Raw genomic sequence first — 26,103 nt, 5'->3', positions numbered from 1 at the left:
AAGAACAAAGTTGGAAGACTTACACTATGTGATTTCAAAACTCCCTAAGAAGCTACAGTAATTAAGACATACAGGATTAGATTAAGGCTAGCCATATAGATAAAGACAATTTCATAAAGATAGAAATATAGATGAATGACACAGCATAGAGAGCCAGGAAACAACCTGTACGTATATGATCAATTCATCTCTGAAAAAGATGTCAAGGTAATTCAATAGGAAAAAAGATAATCTTTTCAACAAATTGTACTAGAACAATGGTATATCCATACTGAAAAATGTAAAAACCCTCAATCCCTATTTCACATCATATACAAAAATTAACCTGAAATAGATCATCCTAGACCTAAATGTAAAAGCTAAAACTATAAAATGTTTAGAACAAAACATAGGAAAAAAATAGTACATTGGCCTGGAGAATGCAGGTCCAAAATGGGAAGAGTAGCCTGTGCAGAGTGGAGCCTCCTCATGTTGGCTTCACAAGCACCTGTTCCCTGGGCTTTGCTGCTTACATAAGCAGAGAGCCTCGATTGCCGCCATCATCCTGTCTCCTAAACTACCAGCTGTCTCAGGGAGAGGGCGTGTTTTGATATGGTCTCCATCATGCTTGTTGTGACAGTAGCTGCAGCAGCCCTGACCCAACAAGACCCATGGAGGCCTTCGCTTTGCTTGTGGCTACCCTAAGAGACTGAGTAACACCACCGAAAATGGAGAACATTGGACCAGTGAGACACAGGAGACTTTCAGTAGCCAGTAGATAATTTCTTCTCTATTGCTTGCTATAGACTGTTCTGAGGGCTACCTGGAAGCCAACATATATAAAAGAACAACAAGATGTGTTTTCTTGTGAAGCAAGTGCTATTTCAGTTACAGCCACCTTTGTTTTCCTTTCTTCCTTGACTCACTTCCCTTTTTTCTTCACTCTTGATGCCCTGAGGTTGTATCTCCCAATACCCAATAGATAATTTGCAATTGGCTTTACCTTAAGTTTTGTTTTTACATGCTAAAACAAGATATAATAATAATTATCTGAGGAAATAGCTGCTTTGACCATATTCTCATTTTACTGAGGCCCAGAGAGGTTAGCTAACCTGTCCAAGATGTTACAGCCAGTAAATGGAGCAGCAGGATTTGAACTCTGGCTCCAAAGTCCATACTTACAACAACTCTGCTATTATTATTTCTAAGGGAACTTGATCTGGCTGCCTGTCAGCTTCATCTCCCTAGATCTTGATTCTGAAGTCAAGACTTCCTGTCATGTTGTGAGTTCTGGCACCTCCAGAGTTCATGTTTCAGTGGAGCTTGGTTGTGGGACTTTCTCAGCATATTTGTACTATGACAAAAGGTCTGAGCCAGTCTGGATGAGAAGCAGTTGTAAGACATAGCATATTCAAAATAGGAGTTCTAACCATGCTTGACAGGTGGGTAGACAGATATAGTCAGTGAGAGGGACATTTCTGACTGGGATTGAAATATTTTTTTCAGAGGGTAGTTCAGGTATGGGTATAATCCATGTATAGAACTTATGGCAACTTTCAGTTGCTCAAATTGCTCCTGTTCCCATGCATATGGAATTAGCAGCTGCAAATGTACTATGATTTGAGAAGCTCTAGAAGCAATTGGCTTCTAAAAGCAAAAGATTGCTTTTCTAGCTGTGATGTGAACTAGGGGACCTTAAGGCTTCAACCTGCCTGTCACTAGGCAGAAAAGAAAGTTAGACTCTTTCCATTCCCCACCTGCTGTTAACATAACAGGTGTGTCTTTGAGTGCTAAAGGGTGGCCAATCCTATTACAATGATGACACAGAGTGGAAGCCACCTTTCTAGTTCCTGTGCACTTTAATGTATATATATTAAGTGATAAGTTTTGAAAAGTCAGCAGTAACTCCTTGGCAAGAGGAACACTATTTTTGAAGTATGAAAGCATACATTTATGAAGAAGAGGATAGAAAGATGATTAGTATTGATTCTACAGTTCAACAAATACTTATGGATGATCTACTTTGTAACCTGTGTATCCTGTGATAGACCCAAGGGATTAAAAAGTAAGTAAGATAGTATCCCACATAGGGTAACCAACTGTCTTAGTTTGTTCAGGACTGAGAGAGGGTTTCCAGGATGCAGTACTTTCAGAGCTAAAACTGGGAAAGTACTAGGCAAATTGAAATGAGCTGGTTACCCTACCTGTTCCCAAGGAGCTCATACGCTAGAAAGGAAGTCAGTTATGCAAATGCATAGCTATGAAATAGTGTGGTATGCGAAATTATGGACTAATAATACTAGCTTATATTTCTTGATATGGCTTGGCTGTGTCTCCACCCAAATCTCACCCTGAATTGTAATAATCCCCACATGTCAAGGGCAGGGCAAGGTGGAGATAATTGAATCGTGGGGGCGGTTTCCCCCATACCATTCTCATGGTAGTGAATAAATCTCATGAGTTCTGATGATTTTTTAAATGGGAGTTCCCCTGCACAAGTGCTCTTGCCTGCCGCCATGTAAGATATGCCTTTGCTTCTCCTTTGCCTTCTGCCATGATTGTGAGCCCTCCACAGCCATGTGGAACTGTGATTCCATTAAACCTCTTTACTTCATATATTACCCAGTCTTTCCTTTATACATTTCATTTAGTAGCAGTGTGAGAACAGACTAATACACTTCTATAACACTTTCTATGAGCCAGGTGCTATTTAGAATAATACCTGTCTTAGTCCCTTCAGGCTGCTGTAACCAAATACCATAAACTGGGTGGCTTGTAAACAGTAAACATTTATTTCTCACAGTTCTGGAGACTGGAAAGTCCAAGATCAAGGCAACCAGTAGATTTGGTGCCTGGTGAGGGCTGACTTTCTGCTTCAAACACAGAACCCTCTTGCTATAGCTTCACATGGCGGAAGGAACTAGTTAGCTCTCTGGGGTTGGGCACTAACTTCAATGATGAGGGCAGGGTTCTTATGACCTAATATCTTCTTGAAGGCCTCAGTTCCTAATACCACCACCTTGGGGGTTAAGATTTCAACATTTGGCTTTCGGAGAAACATAAGCATTCAGTGTGTTGCAGTGTTTTTACATGTATCAACGTATTGAATCCCATAATAGCCATGTGAAGGAATGACTATTATTATCTCCATTTTACACAGATAGAAATTGAGGCACTATTAAAGAGTAGTAAATCTGGGATTCAAACCTAGGTAGTATGATTCTAGATTTGAGATCTTAACCTCTAAACACTTTTCTCAAAAAACCTAAAACATAGAAGTAGCACAGAGGGGTGAGTGATGAACTTTCTGTGTGACAGGATGTGGTCATTGGATAAGAGGTTGTGGGAAAATGGGCTAGAGAAAGTGATGCCTGAGAAGGATTTTGAATGATGAATGAGGAATTAACTAGCAGGAAGGGGAAAAGGGGCATTCTAGGTATAATAGTTCAGCTTAGGATATAGAGATGGGAAACATCATGGTGTCACTGGTAAGTCAGTACCAGTGAGGGCCCCCATGAAGTTTTTCTGGGCTTTGACACTCACAGTGGTACATTTCATCAACCACACCAGGACCTTTGGAAAGAAGCCTGAAGAGGTAGCAGGGCCAGACCACCAAAGAACTTGCATGCCATGATAAGAATCATAGACTTTAACCTGTACCCAACAGGGCAGCATTGGAGACTTTGAAGGAAAAATTGAGATTTGCTTTTTTAGAGAATTGCTCTGGTAGCAGCTAGAGGATTGCTGGAAAGGGGAGGGATGTAGGAACAGTGGTGGGGGACAACCAAGTATGGAGCTCTTAAAAAATTACCCCATGAGAGCTGGTGACTTCAACTAAAGCTTGTGGCAATGGGGATGGGGTGGGCTGGACAGATTCAAAAGATGAAGGAAATAAAATAGACTACATTTTGTTAGTGATTGGATGAAGGGGCTAGAGAGATCAGGAAACCCAGTGACAAATTCTGTGAGCCTTATTAGCTGACTGGGTGCATGATAGATTCCTGCCCCCCCTTTTTTTTTTAAAGGAACATAGGCAGAGAAGTGAGTTTAGAAAGGGAAAAGATAATGAGTTTGGCTTTCCACAATGTGACTCTCAAAAGCCTATAGGAAATTGAGATGGTATTGTCTAATCCAGATATTCCATAAAAGAAGGAAATAACTTGCCCTAAGCGTACTTATTTTTCTGATGAAGAGTGAAATAATAATTATAAGTGAAGTTCTTAGAGACAGGTATGAAGCAAATACAAAGCAGAATAATTAATAGAATACTAATTCCACATCCTTTGGGTTACCTTTGAGGTAGAAACAATTTAATACATTCATTTATCATAAAGTATCAGTGGCTTACTTTACTATTTCCCCTAGGAATGTTTGAATTTTATAAAAGACATCAATACTTAATTGAGTCTCTGATGAAAGAATTTCAGGTGCCCTAATACTAAGAGATGGGACAAATTTTGGGGGGTGCAAATAAGCCTTCTAGAGCTTCTCAAATCATAGTACATTTGCAGCTGCTAATTCCATATGCATGGGAACAGGAGCAATTTGAGCAACTGAAAGTTGCCATAAGTTCTATACATGGATTATACCCATACCTGAACTACCCTCTGAAAAAAATACTTCCATGTTTGTTTCAAAATACTAATGATCTTTGGGATCTTGGGGTCGTAAGTATAGCAAATCAGTTATCACTAATCAATATTTTTTAAAATCCTTTTTATTTACATGACCTATTTATTTGAATTTGAATTTTTTTAACATCACTTCTCAGCTCCATTCTCCTCTTCTAATTCCCTAAGTGTGATCATGCTTCCTTCAGAGTGTTCTGGATCCCTTAGATGAGGGAAGGGACATGTATCCCCTCATCCTCACATAAACCCTCATCTGTGTATTTCTGATGAACGACCTCTGGATTAAAGTACATGAACAATGATCTTGAATACTTAGTTCATCATTTAACAAAAGAACCTAAAGTAGTTTCTCATGAAAACATTAACTGAGTTTAGCATGTCTTCTTTGAAACAATTAGGAATAGAAGGAATGGCAGAACAGAGATCCACAGAGGCTAAGGAAATTTCCAAAAGACACATCTTTAATCTGGGAGCCAGCACAAATATGCAACTATCCTGACATCTCACCATTCCTGTAACCAGTAGGCAACTCGGTCTCCTTGCTATTAGAATGCCATCATTTGTGAAATAGCCAAATCACCTGGGAGAATGACCTTGGCTCTTGTGATTGAGTGGCTTGGAGATCCTTTCCACCAGGCAAAACTTCACCCATCTCTCCAGTTTCCTAACTTTGGTTTTTATTTAGAGAAGCATGCTGCTCACTGTTGTGACATCATTCATCTTTGTCACACCCAAGGCCACAACTTTGTCTGAACAGCCAGTGATATACTGCAGATAGAGTGCACCAAAGACATTAAACTCTATATGACACTTATATGGACTCTGAGTTCACCAGAGATGGATTGATGCTGCCATAAAGCCTTGGGGTAGCCAGGCAAACAAAAGACTAAGGAGACTGGTGGGGGCGGGGATGGTGGTAAGAAAAGCAAGATCTTTCTACATTCACTTTCTCTATCTGCTGAGGTTGGCCTACCTCTTATTTAGGAAATGAAGAAACCAAGTGAGTATGGGGATTTTTGGAGCCCAGTACAGAAGCAAATTCAGTCTTGATTATCAGTGGAGCTCCTGATGGCCGTGACCAGGCCAATGATCAGCACGGGTAACTGGATACTTAGAACATCCCACTTTGAACCCAGTACACCTCAGCAACCATATCTTTATGAAATAAAGAAAAGACTTAGATAACACAGATGCAACAGTAGTGGTGGATCAAGCAAGGATTTAAATACATGTCCATTGATTCCCTTGGCAGATATCCTCAGTATCACAGTCATAATGTTATTTATGGGCACACTCACCCAGGATGAACAGAGTGCTGGCATTCCACTCTGCTTGCCCAGTCTGAAAATTGGATTAAAGACAGTAATATATCTGGGTTTGCATTCAGGATTATCAGCATGATGGAACCCATCTTTACCTGACCCAACAGGTGTTTTGTTAGGTACTCAGGAACCTGACTGGAAAATGATTTTATACAACAAAACAGTAATTTATTTTTCATAGCCAATGCTAATCAGTTATGCAAGCACTTAATGTGATTAAGCTTACTGCAAACAAAATGCCCAATTATCAGAAATGGGGCTTCCCTACCCCCATCCTCTCTCTCCACAGGGACGTGTATGTACAATTGCAGACCACTGTGTGTGTGTGTGCTTGTGTGTATTCTTCATGGACCACCTGCAGCTAACTTTGGAAGATGCAGATTTTTAAGTATCATTTAAGCCACAGCAACATATACACATTTAAAAATAATCAGTAATTAAGAAAGCTCCATATTCACATGAAGAAAGACAACAGTAAATTTGACTTACCAGTTTATGCTGTTCGAGGCAGCAGAGGAACAAGTTGTTGGTAATTGTCCAGTGCTTTCATTCAATAAATCACATTGGCTTTGCTTTCTCCTGTGGCTCAGCCTCTGTGCAAAGCAAGCGAATCTCCTTCCTATTCTGTGTAAAGAATAAAATGCGAACAGGATCACTACAGGCAAGAGCCGAAGTCCATGATCATGAAGATACTCTTAATGCAAAATAAAAGAGGAAATGATGCATAGGGAGAGAAAGGGAGAAGTAAACAGCTTGGCTCAGAGGCTAGGTGTATTCTCTAGACTGCAGCCTGGGGAAGGCTTGATTCCTGTAGCTTGTGTGCGTGTAGTGAAAGGATACCATGACTTCAGTGTGTGCTTAGCCTATTGTATCCGTGAGGACCATTTGAAACGGCTTGCGGAGAAAACTAGCTACATAGTAAACAAGACTGAATCCGAACCGACTGTCACTCAGGGGTGAGCAGAGGGGCAGTGGGTCACTACATCAACCGGCAGGGAAAGAAATATTGTCTGGCATCCAAGAGCTCATCCAGCAATCTGTGAGTGCAAATGATCTACAGCCCTTCTGGGGCCAGACACCGCCTTGTTTCCACAGCCGTCTGGGACCAGAAGCACACAAGTGGCCGTCACATCCCTTCACCACAGGGCACCTGCGCAATTCCTTATAAGCTCCTAGCAGGAGCTAGGGGGCATCTTAAGAAAGCTCTAAATCCAGTCAGGGCTGCTGAAGCTGTGCATGGGCTTTTGTCTGAGCGGGTTCTGAGAAAGTAGTCAGCAGATGTGGGACTTAGGACAGCAAGAGGCTCAGTCTCAGGAAGAAGATTCCAGTGCTGCTTCTATGCCAGACACATATGGGTATACCCGGCTCCTTTCACAGCATTGTGCTTTACATGACTAATGAAAGACACAAATAGATTTCCTAGAAAGCTGCATATGTAGGCATTTTTAATGGCTCTCACTGAAATAAAATGGCAAATGACCTTCACAGGCTGTTTATTATGTTGAGGGGTGGGACTTGCCGATTGATAGCACATATGAATACTGCACACGTGCACACACACACACACACACACACACACACAGCGACACTAGCAACAGCATTAAGAATCTTTCTAAAGCTCTGTTCTGATTCTTTCTCTGCCAAATGAATGTTTAGCTGCTGTGATGACTTCAGGAGTAATTTTGGACTCTTCTGCTAGGCACTGACTAGTCTGTTATTTATACCTGGAGCCAAATAAACTCTCAAATTTTGAATGAGACTCTGTAGCAAGTCAGGAGAAAGTCTCTTGATCATAAACAAGAGGGTGGAGAGTTAATCTTTGGCCTGGTAATTGCTTAGAATCCTGGAAATGACATCTTGTATTCATGAAACTCTCCCCCTTTCTAGAGACATTATCTCCCCCTGATAGCTCGCTCACCCCCAACAGGTGTCTGTTCTGGAGTTCCGATCTGAGGCAGGGCTCAGTGACTCATAAAACCTGGGTGGCCAAAGGAAGAGCTTGGTTTAGCTTTTAACAATTGTCTTACTTTTTCTTTTCTTATTAAAAAGGCAAAATCTCTCCTTCGAACATTTACTATCACTTTCTATCCTTGGATTTATTTGTCCATGGAAGTGTTGCTATGAATAATCTAATTTAGGAATATTCATGCCCTTGAGGTTTAGAGGGCTATGTTTTTCATCAAGGATTAAGAAAGAGTCCGGCTTCTCTTGCACACCTTAGGCCAAAATGATTGCCAGGTAAAACTTTACCCTTTCATCTAGAAAAATTTTGGCTTGAATGCAGACTTACTTGAATTACATCTGCTGTGGTAAGCTAGGTGACTGAGTAACTCTACTAAGGTTAGGGGGTTGCCTCACAGGGGTCATGAGTTACACGTGCCATGCAGACCTAAGGGGAGAGTGCCACTGATAATAGTAGCAACACTTTCTAGAGCAAATACTCAAGTTGAGTCAAAAAGCCCATGTTTATTGCAAAGGAAATTCATTAATTCATCCATGTATTCATTAGTCTACTCTTCAATAGACATTTAGTAAGTATTTAGTAGGTTAGATTCATTGTGCTACATACTTTAACGTTACTTAGAGCCTATTGATGAAGTATAAACTCCCTGACATACCCTAGAAAAATTTCCCATATTCTGGCTCTTCCTATCTCTCTAGCCAAATTTCTCACCACCTTTCTATTTGCATTCCATGCTGTAGCTATTTTGAATATCTCTTAGTTCCTTGGACATGCTATATTCTTTCTGAATACCAGATCATCAAATATGATGGGTGTTCTTCTGCCTGGATGCTCAGTTTCCTATGTCTGGCTAACTCCCGTACAGCCTTGGAATCTTGGCTTAAACATCAACTCTCAGAGATATTTTTCTAGCCCCTAGGCTGTTAGGGTCCCTGCTCTGTGGTCTGAAAGCACGACACCTTATACTCTGCCATCATTATATCCCTTATATTTTATTGCACTTCATTGTTTAGCATCAGTCATCCCCATTATATTGTAAGAGTTTAAGTGCAAAGTCTCTTATTCTCTGCTGTATGTCCAGGGTTTAGCAGAGTTCCTGGCACATAGAAGGCATTCAATAAATATTTGATGTTTTGTTGAAGTGCTTAGCATGTATTTATTGAATGAATACATAAATCACCTCAAGTAATAATGGGAAATGGGGTCTCAGAATTGAAAGGAACCTTAAAGTTCTCTTGGTATGTCTAATCTTTCTTGCCAAGTGACCATCCACAGAAGGCTTGCCTCCTCCAATTAATCCTTCTGGATTAATCTCAGCCCATATTGATCACACTCTTACTTTGTCTCCCACTTCCTAGCACTTTTACAGGATGTTCTTCCTTTTTGTTCTCTGGCTGTTTCCTGGAGTTCGTCTCGTCTCTGCAGACTGGTGCTCTATAACTCTTAGCATAAGCCTGCAATTATTTGATGCTTGATTCATTGAACATCAAACACTTGAACAGGGAGTTAAATGATCACAGTCTTGTTTTAGGAAGATTTCTCTGGTTCTGAGAGAAGTATAAGTGAGATTAGCCAGACCTAGAGAAGACTCTAATAATGACTACAGCACGAGATGGGATCTAAAGGCAGCTTTGCCCTTTCTTTCCTTCTACTCCTCCCCCATTACTCCACCCTCCATGTCATAATACTAATGTTCTCATTTGGAACACTGAGAATGTTTGTTCCACACTCAGAACTTCCCCTCCACCCAATTCCACCCCCACAGTTATTTAACTTGCTTAGGATATTTGCGAATGTGTCTCACTGATTCAATTAAAAGCTCCTTTAAATACAAGGATTGTGTTTTATTTTGCATCTTTCTCCTTCAGCCACTACACCTCCAGCCCTAGTAAGTGCTCAGTAAAATTAAGAAAGAAAATCATTTATTATATGCAGATATTAAATGAAGCAATGTGGTTGGGAGGGCGCATTGCTCCCATTCAAAGATGAACAGGGCATCTTTTCAAAGATAAAAGAGATATACTTAGCATGAGATATGCAACCAATTACAATAAAAGGCAGAATTAAGTAAATGCCATAAAAAAGTATGAGCAATGTGCTAAGGGAACATAGAATTATTACTTCTTTCTGTAACACATAGAAAATGTTCACAGAGAAGGTGGCGTTTGAACTGGAACTGGAGGAATGAAGATCTCTCTACAGGTTGAAAAGAAGAAACAGGTTCGGCGTCACGGCATAGTGTCAAGGCATAGAGTTCCGGGGCTGTTAGGGAATGACAAGTAGTCCAGTGTACTGGAGTGAATAATGCAGGGAAGAGCTGATGGAATTGGTCTCAAAAAGTAAGCAGGAGCTAAATTGGGGAGAGCTCGAACACCATGTTAAAGAGTTTGGATGTTATGCCATAGGTGACAGTGAGCTGAGCAGGAGAATGCCAGAACAGTTGATTAGGATCCACCTGGCCTGGCCATTGTGGATAGTGGTGAGAACCCAGAAGCAGGAAGACACTGATGGTGTGAAGGCCCGTGAAGATGTAAATTAGGAGATGAAAGTCTTATATTTGGAGATAGAACTTACAGGATTGTCAATAGTATAGGTGGGGGATGGGGAGGATGAGAGAGAGAGACACGTTGAAGGTGACTTAAAGTTTTAGCCTACATGATGGCGGATGATGATGACATTAATTTATTCCAGTACATACACCTAGAGATAATTATGGCATGCAGGTTGTGGTCTGTGCTCTTTTTTTTAAGACAGAGAAAAGAACAGAAGCTGAGTCCTTGGAGTCATGTCAATGTGCCTAGACATTCATAGAATGCTTTGAAGAACCCATTTAGCACCAGGTAAAGATTTTAGCCCAGGCTGTGACAGATGAGCTGCCTCTAGCAACATTGAGGGCCATTTCCAGGGGGCATGGGTACAGGGTTTCCATGAAATGTGAGAGTCTGCGGTTTCCCACTACAGTTGTTTAGCTCATTGGAAAGAACCTGGGTCTGGGAAACGGGAGTTTGAACTTCAGTCCTTGAGCTGCCCCTCACCAGCTGTGTGATCTTGGGCAAGTTACTTTTTATCATTAGGCTTCATTATTCTCACCTGTGAAATGAGAGCATTGGACCAGTTAAATTCAAAGGTCTCTTTTAGTATACTCTCCTCTGATTTGTGACATATGATGTATAGAATTTCAGAATACTTGCAAAATTAGGCCAAAGCCCACCAACATCAGAAGCCAGTAATGTCCACTTTCCCCTGCAAAATCCTGACCATATTTTGAGAATGTCCATATATCGCTGCAAATGCATGTCTGCCCTGTGGTTAGTTCCATGTGGTTTGTTTGTTAGACATAAATTTAAATTGATCACTTTTTGATGGCTATTTTCTAACAATTTTTCACTTTTTTTTCAGCGAAGATTTTTTTTTTTTTTTCTTAGGGAGTGCCTTTTCATCAGGATCTCAAAATTAAATTATAAGAAAGTGGCATTCCCTTACTGTGGTCAGCAAAGAGCCTGGCCAGCCTACTTCCGTTCCCTAATCTCTTGACCTTCCTTAGGGCGAGGCTGCTCAATAACGGCTCCGATTCTTTTTTTAAAAATAAAATGTGCTACTTACCGAAAGCTGCTAAAAAGGAGACAAAAAAATAGGAAAAGAAAACTAACACCCCAGGGTGTATCTGAATATGCTTATTATGTGCGAAGTTGTTAGTAATGAATGTGAAACTCTTCTTCCTCCTCCCTCTCAATTTCTAATCCCCAAAGAAAAAAGAAAAGGGGTGGGGGAGTGCATTGGCTATTCAATCCAAAGCAGACTTTTTTTTTTTTTTTTTTCCTAAAGAAAAGATGCAGACTGCTCACGGGCATGCTAGTTCTTGATTATTTTGTTTTAAGCACCAATTGACCTTTCAGACTAAAAGTAACGGTCTCAAAATATCCTGAGAAAGCCTCTTTTAGAATTTTTCTCTAAGTCTTGGAGACGAGACACATTGCATTCAAAAAGACTCTTCGAAAAGAGATGGCCCATATTCCTCGTAGTGCAATCCGATGACAGAGTGTTTATCTGAACTAATCATGTGGGATTTTCCAGTGCCACATTTTTGAGAAACGGGATTCTCTTAAAGGAGGTTACAAACACTTCACTGAAAGCTTTCCAAGAACAGCTTCATCCGTCCTCTCAGCAGCCTCTCACCGGGCTGTAGCACCGACGTGATAATCGGAGTCCATGCTTCTGAAAAGCCTTCTTGTCCTGGCTGCCACCCTCCTTTCAGTCATCATTAGAATTCTCAAGCTATGAATCCCCTATTGTCTGTATGAGCCCAGGATCCCCCACACCATGCCGAGGAAGGAATGTGAGCCTCCTGGGTCTGGCTCTAAGTCTCAACCTTATCCAGCAGGTCACAAAGCCCCATTTATATGCAGTTCCAACATTTTATCATAATTCTTTATCTGCTCGGCCCCATATATCCTCTAGGGCAGTCAGGAGACATTTGGTAATGAAGCCCATTTATCCTTATTTTCTCAATTGGCACACTTCAGGTTATAATATTTATGTTCACACTGTCTTAATTTTGGATGTCAAAGATACTATACTAGACAAGTAGCATTGCCAAAGGATAATTGAACCATGTGGAAGAGTTCACCAGAGTCTGATACATGATGTGGTTTGTCATATTACCAATCATTGCATCAAAATAGTTACTTTTAATAGCTCAGTGGAAAAATAAATGCTGCCATTTATCAAATACCTTCTATGTGCCATGCAATGGTATCTCTGAATTCTCACACTCTACAAAGTAGGATTACCCACTTTTTATCGATGAGGAAACTCAGGTTCAGAGAGATTAATCAGCTTGTTTATGTGCATTTAGGGACTGAGCTGAGACTCAGACCCAGGTCTCTGCAAAGTTTGTGGTATTTCCACTTCATTCCTTTGCCAAGAAATAAGAAATAATACATAATATGTATAATAATATAATAAGAAATATAATACATTTCGTTAGTTGTTTTACATTAATGTAACATAATTATTTTTCATCAAAAACATGTAAATAATTATGAAGTTCGGGCTGATAAAATGCTTTGGCCAACTGAGAAATGAGATCAGCTCTGATAAGCATTAGCACATCAGTAGGAATTTGTAGCATAAATTTCACCTATCAATAGGTGGCAGTATTCACCTAACTCTCTTTAAAAGGAGCCAGCACAGGTTGCTTCTTATGACCAATCCCTAGGCCATCTGTATTCTTTGATGCACTAGATTTGGTCATAATGAATAAAGTGTGTAATAGGTTGGTGGCTAATTGGACCTCAATCATGCCTTTGTATAGGGATATCTGGACTGTAGTGCGGTTGTGGTAGAGGACTGTTATCCATGGCAGAGATGTTGGGATCCCTCTCCATTTACAACACTCATTTTGGCCGTTCCTCTGGGGAAGTCTTTTATTGGTGATTCAAAGCCAAAGATGATTTTTGTGCCCTGGTTTACTTTAAGGATGTTGTGCAGAATTCTCAAACAATTTGAAAATGAAATAGTTAATACTCTAGGATTTGATAACTCATAAACCAATGTTTGTCTAGATTAAAAAATAGAACATTTATCAGACTTCAGGGTTTCAGCTTTTTCAAAACCCTATGTATGTGTACAGCTACCCATCAAATCATATGAATCTTCACCAGTAGGCACGGAAGCTGGAATCCATGAGGTGACTATTCAATAGACAAGTCAAAACGGTTTCGTTGATTAGTCAAAATACTGAAGGATAAATGACTACTCAATTTTAGGCAGACCCCTCCTCCTCTTCTTCCTCCTTTGTCTATGTTTTTTCTTCCTCCTCATTTTTTTTGTAAAGAAAATCTTAATATTGAAATATCTGCAGTTAAAAGTCACAGATTCAGTCTCTATTTTCTACTTGCCAACAGGAGTCCACTTAGGAGAATTTAGCTTTATAAAGTCAAGAAAACAGGTAGATAAAAAGATAAAAGAATAACCTGAAAGACTCTTTGACCTATCTTTATGCTATCTTCTCCATTTTCATTTGAGATACTTGGGAACAGATCATTATCAATGACGACAAACAAGCACTTGGAAATCAGATAGGATGAGTAGTCCTAACTCAGAACTAAGACGTTGACTCCAATAAGATTCTCAGCAGACCAGATTTTCTTAAAAGAATACAGATTGGCTGGTGGAATAAGGAAGGTGGCCCTGAAGACAGACTATTTACCTCTCTTTCATGTTCCCGATGGAATGAATGTCTTTCTCCTCTCTCCTTGTAGTATTTATAACGATGTTAAAACTCTCAGCACAGCCTAACTTCATTAGAGTTACTTGGGGCTCTATGTAATTCCCTTACTGGATTGAAATCTCCATGAGGGCAGGACCCGGGCCTCATTGATTTTTGAATTTCCCTCTCAGCTCTTGGACTGGGGCCCTGTGCATGGTAGATAATTTTCAATACATATAGGTTTAATTGAAAAGAATTAAAGAGAACTCAGAGGAATGCATTTTATACTTTTTCCCAGTTTAAGGAAAAGGGCAGCTTTGGTGTTGGATGCTATGCATGCTCATATTTCTACTTTCTTATCTGCTTCTTCCATTTCAGGACAGTATTGGTGAGGGTAGAGGTATCATGCCAAAGGCCAGCACACCCCCCCCAGAACCATTAATTATCTATTTTTACATCCTTGGCAAGGCCATCTGGTTTTGTAGAAAAATGCCCTGGTTATATGAAGGTTAATTGCAGAGGCAGGCCAAAAAATAAAAATAAAATTTAAAAAAAGGCAGTTACAAGGGACATTAAGTGACCTACTGTGTCATTCCAATCACTAATATTTCCTGCCTTTGTGGTCTGGAGACTCAATCTGCACTAAAGAGCTGAACAAGGCAATGCTATTTCCTGGTGGTGGTTATCATTGTTTCCCATATTAGGACAAAGCTAAGCACAAGGGGAGACAATGTGTATCGTGTCTCACAAGGGAAGGGTAAGCATCTTCAAAAGCTTACAAAATTACATTGAACCCATTTAGGCATATCAGGAGATATTGCCAAGCTGGAGAAATGAATTACCCAGCTGAATATCACAGGCATAATGAAGTTGTCAACAGCAACAGTGCAGCTGTAGATTGTCTGATTATGTGTTGACTGCACTGGCCATTCAGGGACACACCAGGAAGGAAATTGTTGTCATATTGTCCACCACATTCCAAGCCCCATCCCAGCCATGGTGATAAACCCGATACCCTTAGGAGTATGTGGAAAATAAAAATAACAACAGCAAGCCAGAAAGAAAGAGCATCCTCTTCTGATGGTCTCTTATGTCTAGCATTGCTGGAGTCTCTCCCCTTCTGTTACTCTAATCTGTCATCTTCTTTTAAAAAAATGACCATGACAAGGAATGCAAGTTTAGATTCTGGCCCTCCAAACAAACATTTCACAATGGGCTTTTTAGCCTTTGTTAAATTCAAAATAAGCGGGAGTCCAGCAAGAAAGCTTTAACTACGTGGGTGGGATTTACACCTTTCCTATGAGTCAAAGATGAAGGCAAGCTGGAGTTTTCCCTTTTGCTAAAGCATCTAAAAAGGTTGATTTGCAATGTTTCTGGACAGCAACTGGAATGTTCTTGAAGGTTCTTCTGGCTTTTTTCTTTTTTAAAAACACCTTCAGTTTTCTCCTCTAAGTGAGGGGGTCATGCTAGATGACGTTGAAAGTCACTTCTAGCTCTAACATGTTATGATGTCAAGAAGCCATAGAGCACTTAACACATAGAAGAACTTCTCTGCCACAAAGAAAAAAATGCTTTATTTCAACCCAGCTAGTCTTGGTTTGTATTGGACATATGGTCTGATATTTCAGAGTCAATATATGTGATCTCTCTTTCCAGAGAGTGTGCTGAAATCTGCTTTAAACGTGTGTTATTTATCAGGAATGTTTTCTTTTTTAAAAAGGAACTAATGTAGATGTGCCTCACTCATTAATAGAATTCTATTCTCTATTCAGGTTTTCTTCAGAGAAAGCCAACAAGATGTTTCTATTAGTGGGACTGGTGCTTTTTAAATGCTTACAGTATAGCACAGGAGCATTTGATCCTTTAATTACCCTAGGTGGCCCCACTCAGTGGGTGGTGATTTGGGTGAGGAATCTGGATAGCTTTGGTGGTCAGTCAAGCCATAAAGAAAACTCTCCTCCTTCCACCCTCATTTATTTTTCTCTCCTGAGTGCCAGTCAAAATGAGATTTTTTTGTTTTTTGTCAATTCTTCTAGGAATACTTCTGTTTGGCATTTGAATCCAGGCTTAAGTTAAATTTTAGGCCCCCAAGACCAAATTTCCAAAAGGGTCCTCTACCCTTGGCTAACTGCTAAATGAATAAATCTCTAAAGAAGCCTTCCGTATTTTCCAGGTCCTTTTCTCCATTTATTTCACAGCCTAAGTGTTCCTTAGATGATACTTGAGTGGGTGGCTTATGACCCAGTCTCCTGCCAAATTGCTCAGCTTTCTACTGCCATAAGAAATACCTCCTCCATTTTACAAATGGAAAAGTCTCCTTGGTTTATCTCCACAACTTCATGGAATCAGATCCTTAGTATTAAGGAGAGAATTCTTTGTAATTAATCACAGTGAGAATTTGAAATACCAAGAGAAGCAAGGAAGTTAATTCTATTTGCACATTCAAGCATAATAATAAAGACGCATAACTGTGTAATAAGACCCAGCAATTATAAAGGCCATCTGCACTATCAGTTAAACGTTGACTGTAAATGCCACTTTACCCATTAAAATTACTCTCAGCTGAAAATAAAAACTTTGTCCCCTTTCTTCTAAAAATGTCAGATGAAGTTTGCTGTACAAATGTCAGGAGCGTCTGACCTAAGGCATATAGCAGCAAAGAGGCATTTAATGAATTGGAGAAGAAAGAAGAACAGAGGAGGAAAAACAAAAAGAAAGTTGAAGAGGTTGTAGGAACACTTTTAAGAAGCCTTGACTGATTCATCTTTTTAAATTGTAGCCTCATCTCTATTATTCCCATCTTCTCTTCACAGACATTGGTGTGACCCTTTTATTTCTGGCCTAGTTCTTCTGTCTTCAGACTCCTGTCCAAATTCCCTTTCTTCATTTTGTCCCAGACTCTGAACTCCTATGAAATCAGATAGAGCAGAGTCTGAATGGGCTGCTCTGGCTACTTTCTAAGGAGTAGAGGAGCTTTCTAAGCTCAGAGGAGCTTTCTCAAGGACTGCATATGCCAAATACTCAATGTCATTCTTCTGCATTGTGAAACCTACTGGATGCACCTTGCAGCACAGCAAAGGCGTTGAATGGAATTAAAAGGTCAATGGCTTATTCACTTCCTTCACTATTTGGGAGAAAAGTACAAGATTTTGCTCAGAGAGGATTAAAAGGACAGCAACAGGCACCTTCTGTCTGGGCTGCCCTGCTAGCTAGCATAGTCTTCTCTTAGTTTGAAAGGGGAGTCACAGTGTTTCACGCATTTGTCAGATGCTCAAACTCAGTCTGTCAAATACAACTACAACCAAGGCTGATTATCCATTCTCATTGTTCCTTCAGTGATTTATCTTCAGCATCAAGGAAAAGTGGGAGTTTTCTGTGACATTTGCAACTTCAAAGTACATTTAATTCTTAAAGAAAGAGAGAGAGAGAGAATGAATCATGCTACATATTCACCATCTCCTCCAGCTATATTAGTGAGAAAATCAAGCCTCAGGAGCATTTACATTTCATTAAGCAAACATTAACTTACTGCAATGTGGCATATGGACAGGAGAAATTGTGGCTGTTTTAACTGATTGAATTAAAAACAAATAGGCTGAAGAGAGTTACATGTAGCCCAGTGAAACACATTTGCACCTGAACAAGAAGGGCTTATTTCGAGCTCGGCAGCATTGAGGAGTTGAGACTGAGAATACATCTCTGCCTGAGAGGGTATCAGGTACCAAACAAGAACTCCAGAATTAGAGTGATGGTTTTGATGACTAATTAAAAAAAATTATGTTGCTTTCAGTTAATGTAAAATCATTCATGTCTTCTTTTGTCTACATCTATAAATTTTTTGACTGTGCCCTTATCTAAAAGGTCCTGAGGTTCAGGATGCTGTAAAGATTACTGATGAGGGCAGCTTGAGCTTGAGAACCATTGTAGGAAAAAGTCCAATATATTGGAAATGAAACACCAGTTAGAGTCAGGAGATATGAGTAAAAGACTTGGGTTTCCTACTTATTAGCTGTGAATCTTTGCAGTCTTTGGCCACTTGACCTGAGTCTTAATTCTCTTATCTATAAAGTGAAATTAATAGTAGTCACCCTGCAAATGCTAGAATAGTCATATTACAATAGAAGATATACAAATGGTCAATAAGCACATAAAAAGGTGCTCAATATGATTAGTCCTCAGAGAATTATAAAATAAAATTAAAATGAGATACTAGTTTACACCCACTATGATGGCTAAAACCAAGAGTTGGTGAGGTTGTGGAGCAACTATAGTGCCTTTAGGTTGCTGATTGGAGTATAAAATGGTATACCTTTGGAGAACTGTTTGACAGTCTTTTACAAAGTTAAATATAATATACCTTATGACTCGGCACTTCGACTTCTGGGTTCTACCCACAAGAAAGAGAAATAAATGCTCACGGAAAGAATTACACAAGAATATAGCAGTCTTAGTTAAAACAGCCAACCTGGAAATAGCCCAAATATCATGAATAGAGTAATAGCTAAACAAATTGTGGTATATTCATTCTATGGACTATTACTCAACAATAAAAAAGGAATAAACTACTGAGACATACAATAATGTGAATGAATCTCAGAAACATCAGATTAAGCAAAAGAAGCTAGACACAATAGAATACTTACTACACAATTACATTCCCCTGATGACCAAGTACTGAAAAAACTGATCAATAGTGACAGAAATCAAAACACTGGCTGCCTAGGTTGTACTGGGTTGGTGGGATATTTGGTTGGACAGTGGCAGAAGGAAACTTTCAGGCCGGTTGGAAATGTTCTGTATCTTGATTTAGGTGTTGGTTAGGGGGTATATACAATTATTGAAACATAACTAACCAAAACACAAAATCTATTCATGGTATTTTATGCAAATTATAATTAATGAATAATGCCTGCCTTAGCTACCTTACAGAGAAATTGGAAGATCAGATGAGATTTGAAGCAAATGTAAAATGCCATGTAAATCTGAGTTGTTATCATTTGATAGATAAGATCAAACATAGACTAATCTAAGAATGGGCAGGCATATGGGGATGGGTATTTGTAAGCTGAGTGCAAGATCCCAGGATGTGAACCCAGGCTGCAGCCCAAGGACCAAGAGAAAAGGACTGAGAGCCATCCTCTTTCCACCTCAAGGCTCAGATTACTACTAGCTCACACAGTGTCTTTATGAGGCTCAGAAAAAGAACCTGTTCCTTCCCCTTACTGTGGCACACTGCTTGGGGAACAGAGCCTGGCTGGGTTTCAGCACTTCCTTTACCTCCATGACCAGGCTTGTTTGTGCCCTGAACAATCTGCACAGCTTCATATGAGGTCCTGTTTAAGATCTTTGCACATACTGTTCCATCTGACTAAAACATCTGTCCCTGTTTCATGGGACTGGCTCCCTTTCATCTCTCAGGTCTTGGCTTAAATATCATTTCCTCAGAGAGGAAATACCCTTCCCTCATGTCCATTAATCTTTATTTCAGCACCCTGGTTTTTTTTTCTTTTTTTTTTTTGAGTTGGATTCTCGCTCTGTTGCCCAGGCTAGAGTGCAGTGGCATGATCTCAGCTCATTGCAACCTCGCCTCCCCGCTTCAAGCAATTCTCCACCTCAGCCTCCTGAATAGCTGGGATTACAGGCGCCCACCACCATGCCTGGCTAATTTTTGTATTTTTAGTAGAGACGGGGTTTCATCACCTTGGCCAGGCTGGTCTTGAACTCCTGACCTCGTGATCCACCTGCCTTGGCCTCCCAAAGTGCTGAAATTACAGGCATGAGCCACCGTGCCCGCCCCCACTGTTGTTTTTCTAAAAGCACCAACCATAGTTTGTAACTACTTTCTTTACTTGTCGTTTGTTAGTCTGCTCCCTTTTAGACTGTGAGTTGCATGGGAGCAGGGAATCCATCCCTTATTCACTATAATACCCCAAGGTTTAGCATAGTGCCTAGCACATAGTGGGTGCCCTACAAATATGTGATGAACGACAAAATCAGATGCAGGTTTGGAGAGGTGTGAGGCTGGAAGCTAGTGACCTTTCCAGCAGGCGACAGGTAGCAAAGACTGAAAAACTGGAGACGAGCAAAGGAAAGGAGGTCTGTGGAGGACCATGGAGGGCCAGAGATTTGGCAGTTAGGGCAGCCGGGATTAGGAGAGAGGCTCCGAGAAAGTGGGAAGTACCTATGTTAGGGATTCAACTAAAGGAGTGTGAAAGGAGGTACTGGGAGAATGGGTCAGAGTAAGATCAGCAGAAATAATGCCTAGATGCTAACCCTGAGGTCTCCTGGGATTGGCTTTCTTTTATACTCTGGGTCTAGACTAGATAGGCAGTGCTGGGCCACAGACAGGGTCAAATCAAAAGGCCTCTGGGAATTGGCAGCCAGACACATGTGGAATATCAAGCACCTTCTCACAGAAAAGTATCATTTAATTTTAAGCAAATCAGAGCCAAGGTGGGAGTGGGCAGAAGCACAGAACACAGGTCTACTATCAGATAGGCTGAGGATAGCTTCCAGTAACCACATGGTAGCCCTCAGGATATAGAGGGGCAGACCCACTGCAGTCAGACCAACACTGGGTGGTGGGGGTGAAGGAAGATAACGTCCAATGGGAATAGAATATTTAGGAATGGCTCTTTCTTTTTAGAACCAAGTTTTCAGGTGAACCATAGGCCTGAAGAGGAGACCGCGAAGAGTTCTAGATTCTGTGATCAGAGAGTGATCACAAAATAACAGCACCGATATCACAAAATAATGGGACTACAAGTTGAGTATCCCTTCTCTGAAATGCTTGGGACCAGAAGTGTTTCAGATTTTGGATTTTTTCTTGGAGTTTAGAATATTTGCATATATATAATGAGATACCTTGGGGATGTCACCCAAGTCTAAATACAAAATTCACTTACATTTCATATACACCCAATGCAAATACCCTGAAGGTAATTTTATACAACACTTTTTGCTAATTTTGTGCATGAAGCAAAGTTTGTGTACACTGAACCAACAGAAGGCAAAAGTATCACTATCACAGCCACCCACGTAGACAATCTGTGGTTGTTTGGCATCACTGCCATTCCTGTCTCTGAATTTATATGCTACCAATAAGCAATCATGTTTGTATACATTTTCACACATAAGTACTTAACAGTAAAAAAAATGACATACATTAATACAGTGAAAATATAACGTACTCAGGGTAGTTTGTAGCATCACATTGGCACTGAAAAGTTTTGGAGTTCGGTACATTTTGGATTTTGGATTTTTGGATTAGGGATGCTCAACCTGTACTTGATGAGTCCCTTATACTCACCAATTCTTTTGAACCCCACAGCAACCCTGTGATGGGAAGTAGCATTAGAAGCATCTGAATTTACAGATGAGAAAAGTAAGGCCCAAGTCTCATGGCTAGTAGGTGGCAGAGCCAATACTTTATAAAAAGAATCACCTTCACATGAACAGTGAGTAATGGATAAAAGAAATGTGGTACACACACACACACACACAAACACACGAGAGAGAGAGTGAGCGAGAGAGAGAGAGAAATATTATGTAGCCCTAAAAGGAGGAAGTTCTATTATTTGTGACAACATGTATAAACCTGGAGGACATTATGCTAAATGAAGTAAGAAATAAGCCAGGCACAAGAAGAGAAATACTTCATGACGTCACTCTAGTGTAGCATCTAAAAAAGTTGAACTCAGAAGCAGAGAGTAGAATGGTGGTTGCCAGGATCTGGGGGCAGGGGGAGGAAATGGGGAGACGTTGGTCAATGGTTACAAAATTTCCGTTACACAGGCTGAATAAGTTCTAGAGATCTAATGTACAGCATGGTGACTATAGTTAATAATACTGAATTGTACACTTGAAATTTGTTATTAGAGTAGATCTTCAATGTTCTACACACACACACACACACACACACAAAGTAATTGTGAGATGATGGATATGTTAATTAGCTTGCTAGTGATAATCATTTCACAATATATATCAGAACATGGAATTGTACACCTTAGCTATATCCAATTTGTAATTTTCTTTTTTTCTTTTTTTTTTTTGAGATGGAGTCTCACTCTGTTGCCTAGGCTGGAGTGCAGTGGCTCGATCTCGGCTCACTGCAAGCTCCGCCTCCCAGCTTCACGCCATTCTCCTGCCTCAGCCTCCTGAGTAGCTGGGACTACAGGCACCTGCCACCACATCTGGCTAATTTTTTGTATTTTTAGTGGAGATGGGGTTTCACCACGTTAGCCAGGATGGTCTCGATCTCCTGACCTCGTGATCCGCCCGCCTCGGCCTCCCAAAGTGCTGGGATTACAGGCGTGAGCCACTGCACCCGGCCCAATTTTTAATTTGCAAAAGCACAGCAGTCTCTCCTAATTTGTGCTTTTGCTTTCTGTGGTTTCAGTTATCCGTGGTCAACTGCAGTCTGGAAATATTAAATGGTAAATTCCAGAAATAAACAATTCATAAACTTTAAATTGTACACCATTTTGGGTAGCATGATGAAATCTTGCACCACCTCAATGTCCTGCCCAGGACGTGAATCCATCTCTTTGTCCAGCGTATCCATGTGGTATACACTACACGCCCCTAGTCATTGATTTCATCTGCTCCTGATACCTAACTACTGACATCATCATGGCTCAACGATCCAGGATCATGTGAAGCGGATGATCCTCTTTATGATGTATCATCAGAAAGTCAGGAGTAGTTTAGTGCTACATCACAACGCCCGTGCTATTCACCTCACTTCATCTCATCCTGTAGGCATTGTCTCATCTCACATCATCACAAGAAGAAAGGTGAAGAGAGTGCAATAAGATATTTTGAGAGAGAGAGAACACATTTACATAACTTTTAGTATAGAATATTGTTATAAGTATTCTATTTTATTATTAGTTATTGTTGTTAATAACTTACTGTGCCTCATTTATAAATTAAACTTTATCATAGGTATGTATGTATAAGAAAAACATAGTGTATATAGGGTTCAGTATTATCCAGGATTTTAGGCATCTGTTGGGGGTTTTGGGATGTATCCCCTGTGGATGAAAGGGCACCATTGTACCACAAGAAAGCCAAAAAAGATTTTAGAAAATTCTTCCAATCTATGAATCAAAAAAAGAGCAGAAATCTATAACATTGATAATAGAAAAACAATAGAGAAAATCAATGAAACAGAGAAAATGTCTTTTAAAAGATAAAATTGGCACCTCTATTAACTGTTGAAGAAAAAGAAAAAGAGATGCAATTTACCAATATCAGGAATTAAGTGGAGATGTCATTACCAACTGTACAGATATTAAAAGGATAATAAGGGACTATAATAAATAATTTTATAAGTATAAATTTGATACCTGTAATGAAATGGACCACTTTCTTAAAACACAGACTATCACAACTCACCCAATATGAAATGGATGATTTTAACTGTCTTTTAACCATTAAGGAAATTGAATCTATAATTTAGAAACATCAAAAAAAGTAATGTCTAGTCCAAGATTGTTTCACTGGAGAATTTTCTACCAAACGTTCCAAAAAGAATTAAAGAATTAACACAAATTCCAACCCAAAAGAGGAGGGAACACATAATATTTTGTCTTATAAACCTGATATTATCTTGGTAACAAAACTGGATAAAGACAGTGCCAAAAAAGAAAATATTACTCACAAATGTAGATGCAAAAAATCATTAACCAATATTAGCAAATAGAATTCAGAAACATATAAAAATAATTATATACCAGGACAAAGTGGTGTTTATTCAATGGATGCGAGGCTTATTCAATATTTGGACACCAATCAATGTAATTCACCATATTAACAGATAAAAGGCGCAAACTCACATAATCATATCAATTGATGCAGAAAAAGCATTAAACAAAATTCAGCATTCATTCATTCATGACAATAACGCTCAGAAAATATCAACAGAACGAACATCCTCAGCTTGATAAGGAACATCTACCAAAAATCCAACAGCTAACATGAACAGTAAATGGTAAAAGACAATGCTTCCCCCTAAGATCAAGAATAAGTCAGGCAGCTCTCATCACTCTTATTTATCATAATTTTGTGAGTTCTAGTCAGTAATAGTAAGCAAGAAAATGCAATAAAAGGCATTTTATTGAAATGCTCACTAGAAAAAAATCACTGGCATGAAAAAATAAAACCATTCCTATGTGCAGATGAAATTATTGTCTGTAGAAAATCCCAACAAATCTACAAAAAGACCACTAGAACTAATAAATGAGTTCAGCAAGGTCACAAGATACGAGATGAACATACAAAAATCAATTGTATTTATGTATACTAGTAATGACTACATGGATGCAAGTTAAAAGTGCAATACCATTTACAATTGCTCAAAAAAATTAAAATCTTTTTTTTGCACTCCCATGTTTATTTTTTTATGCTTTAACTTCTTTTTTTTTTTTATTATACTTTAAGTTGTAGGGTACATGTGCACAACGTGCATGTTAGTTACATATGTATACATGTGCTATGTTGGTGTGCTGCACCCAGTAACTCGTCATTTAACATTAGGTATATCTCCAAATGCTATCCCTCCCCACTCCCCCGATCCCACAACAGGCCCCGGTGTGTGATGTTCCCCTTCCTGCGTCCATGTGTTCTCATTGTTCAATTCCCACCTATGAGTGAGAACATGCGGTTCTCTTCATGTTTGGTTTTTTGTCCTTGCGATAGTTTGCTGAGAATGATGGATTCCAGCTTCATCCATGTCCCTATAAAGGACATGAACTCATCATTTTTTATGGCTGCACAGTATTCCATGGTGTATATGTGCCACATTTTCTTAATCCAGTCTATCATTGTTGGACATTTGGGTTGGTTCCAAGTCTTTGCTATTGTGAATAGTGCTGCAATAAACATACGTGTGCATGTGTCTTTATAGTAGCATGATTCATAATCCTTTGGGTATATACCCAGTAATGGGATGGCTGGGTCAAATGGCATTTCTAGTTCTAGATCCCCGAGGAATCGCCACACTGACTTCCACAATGGTTGAACTAGTTTACAGTCCCACCAACAGTGTAAAAGTGTTCCTATTTCTCCACATCCTCTCCAGCACCTGTTGTTTACTGACTTTTTAATGATCGCCATTCTAACTGGTGTGAGATGGTATCTCATTGTGGTTTTGATTTGCATTTCTCTGATGGCCAGTGATGATGAGCATTTTCTCATGTGTCTTTTGGCTGCATAAATGTCTTCTTTTGAGAAGTGTCTGTTCACATCCTTCGCCCACTTTTTGATGGGGTTGTTTGTTTTTTTCTTGTAAATGTGTTGGAGTTCATTGTAGATTCTGGATATTAGCCCTTTGTCAGATGAGCAGATTGCAAAAATTTTCTCCCATTCTGTAGGTTGCCTGTTCACTCTGATGGTAGTTTCTTTTGCTGTGCAGAAGTTCCTCAGTTTAATTAGATCCCATTTGTCAATTTTGGCTTTTGTTGCCATTGCTTTTGGTGTTTTAGACATGAAGTCCTTGCCCATGCCTATGTCCTGAATGGTATTGCCTAGGTTTTCTTCTAGGGTTTTTATGGTTTTAGGTCTAACATTTAGTCTTTAATCCATCTTGAATTAATTTTTGTATAAGGTGTAAGGAAGGGATCCAGTTTCAGCTTTCTACATATGGCTAGCCAGTTTTCCCAGCACCATTTATTAAATAGGGAATCGTTTCCCCATTTCTTGTTTTTGTCAGGTTTGTCAAAGATCAGATGGTTGTAGATATGCGGCATTATTTCTGAGGCCTCTGTTCTGTTCCATTGGTCTGTATCTCTGTTTTGGTACCAGTACCATGCTGTTTTGGTTACTGTAGCCTTGTAGTATAGTTTGAAGTCAGGTAGCATGATGCCTCCAGCTTTGTTCTTTTGGCTTAGGATTGACTTGGCAATGTGGGCTCTTTTTTGGTTCCATATGAACTTTAAGGCAGTTTTTTCCAATTCTGTGAAGAAAGTCATTGGTAGCTTGGTGGAGATGGCA

General features: G+C 39.7%; 1 protein-coding gene across 14 annotated transcripts in view; it reads right to left on the bottom strand.

Moving 5' to 3' along the window:
* ANKFN1 (ankyrin repeat and fibronectin type III domain containing 1) overlaps nt 1-26,103 on the bottom strand; it is a 470,940-nt gene that overhangs the window by 184,240 nt on the left and 260,597 nt on the right. For 13 of the 14 annotated variants that reach the window (XM_047435502.1, XM_017024263.2, XM_011524430.3 and 10 more), the window contains one exon: nt 6,422-6,556. Coding sequence is in view for 8 of the 14 variants with exons in the window: in XM_017024263.2 (XP_016879752.1) it covers nt 6,422-6,556 (135 nt within the window). In the remaining 6 variants the exon portion in view is untranslated. Of the gene's footprint in view, nt 1-6,421; nt 6,557-9,234; nt 9,327-26,103 lie in introns of those variants that run through there. The other variant, XM_006721728.4, reaches the window with a different exon arrangement.

This window comes from Homo sapiens, chromosome 17 (genome assembly GCF_000001405.40).
Source record: "Homo sapiens chromosome 17, GRCh38.p14 Primary Assembly".
NCBI classification, from domain to species: domain Eukaryota; kingdom Metazoa; phylum Chordata; class Mammalia; order Primates; family Hominidae; genus Homo; species Homo sapiens.
This window is presented reverse-complemented; position numbering and strand designations above follow the sequence as displayed.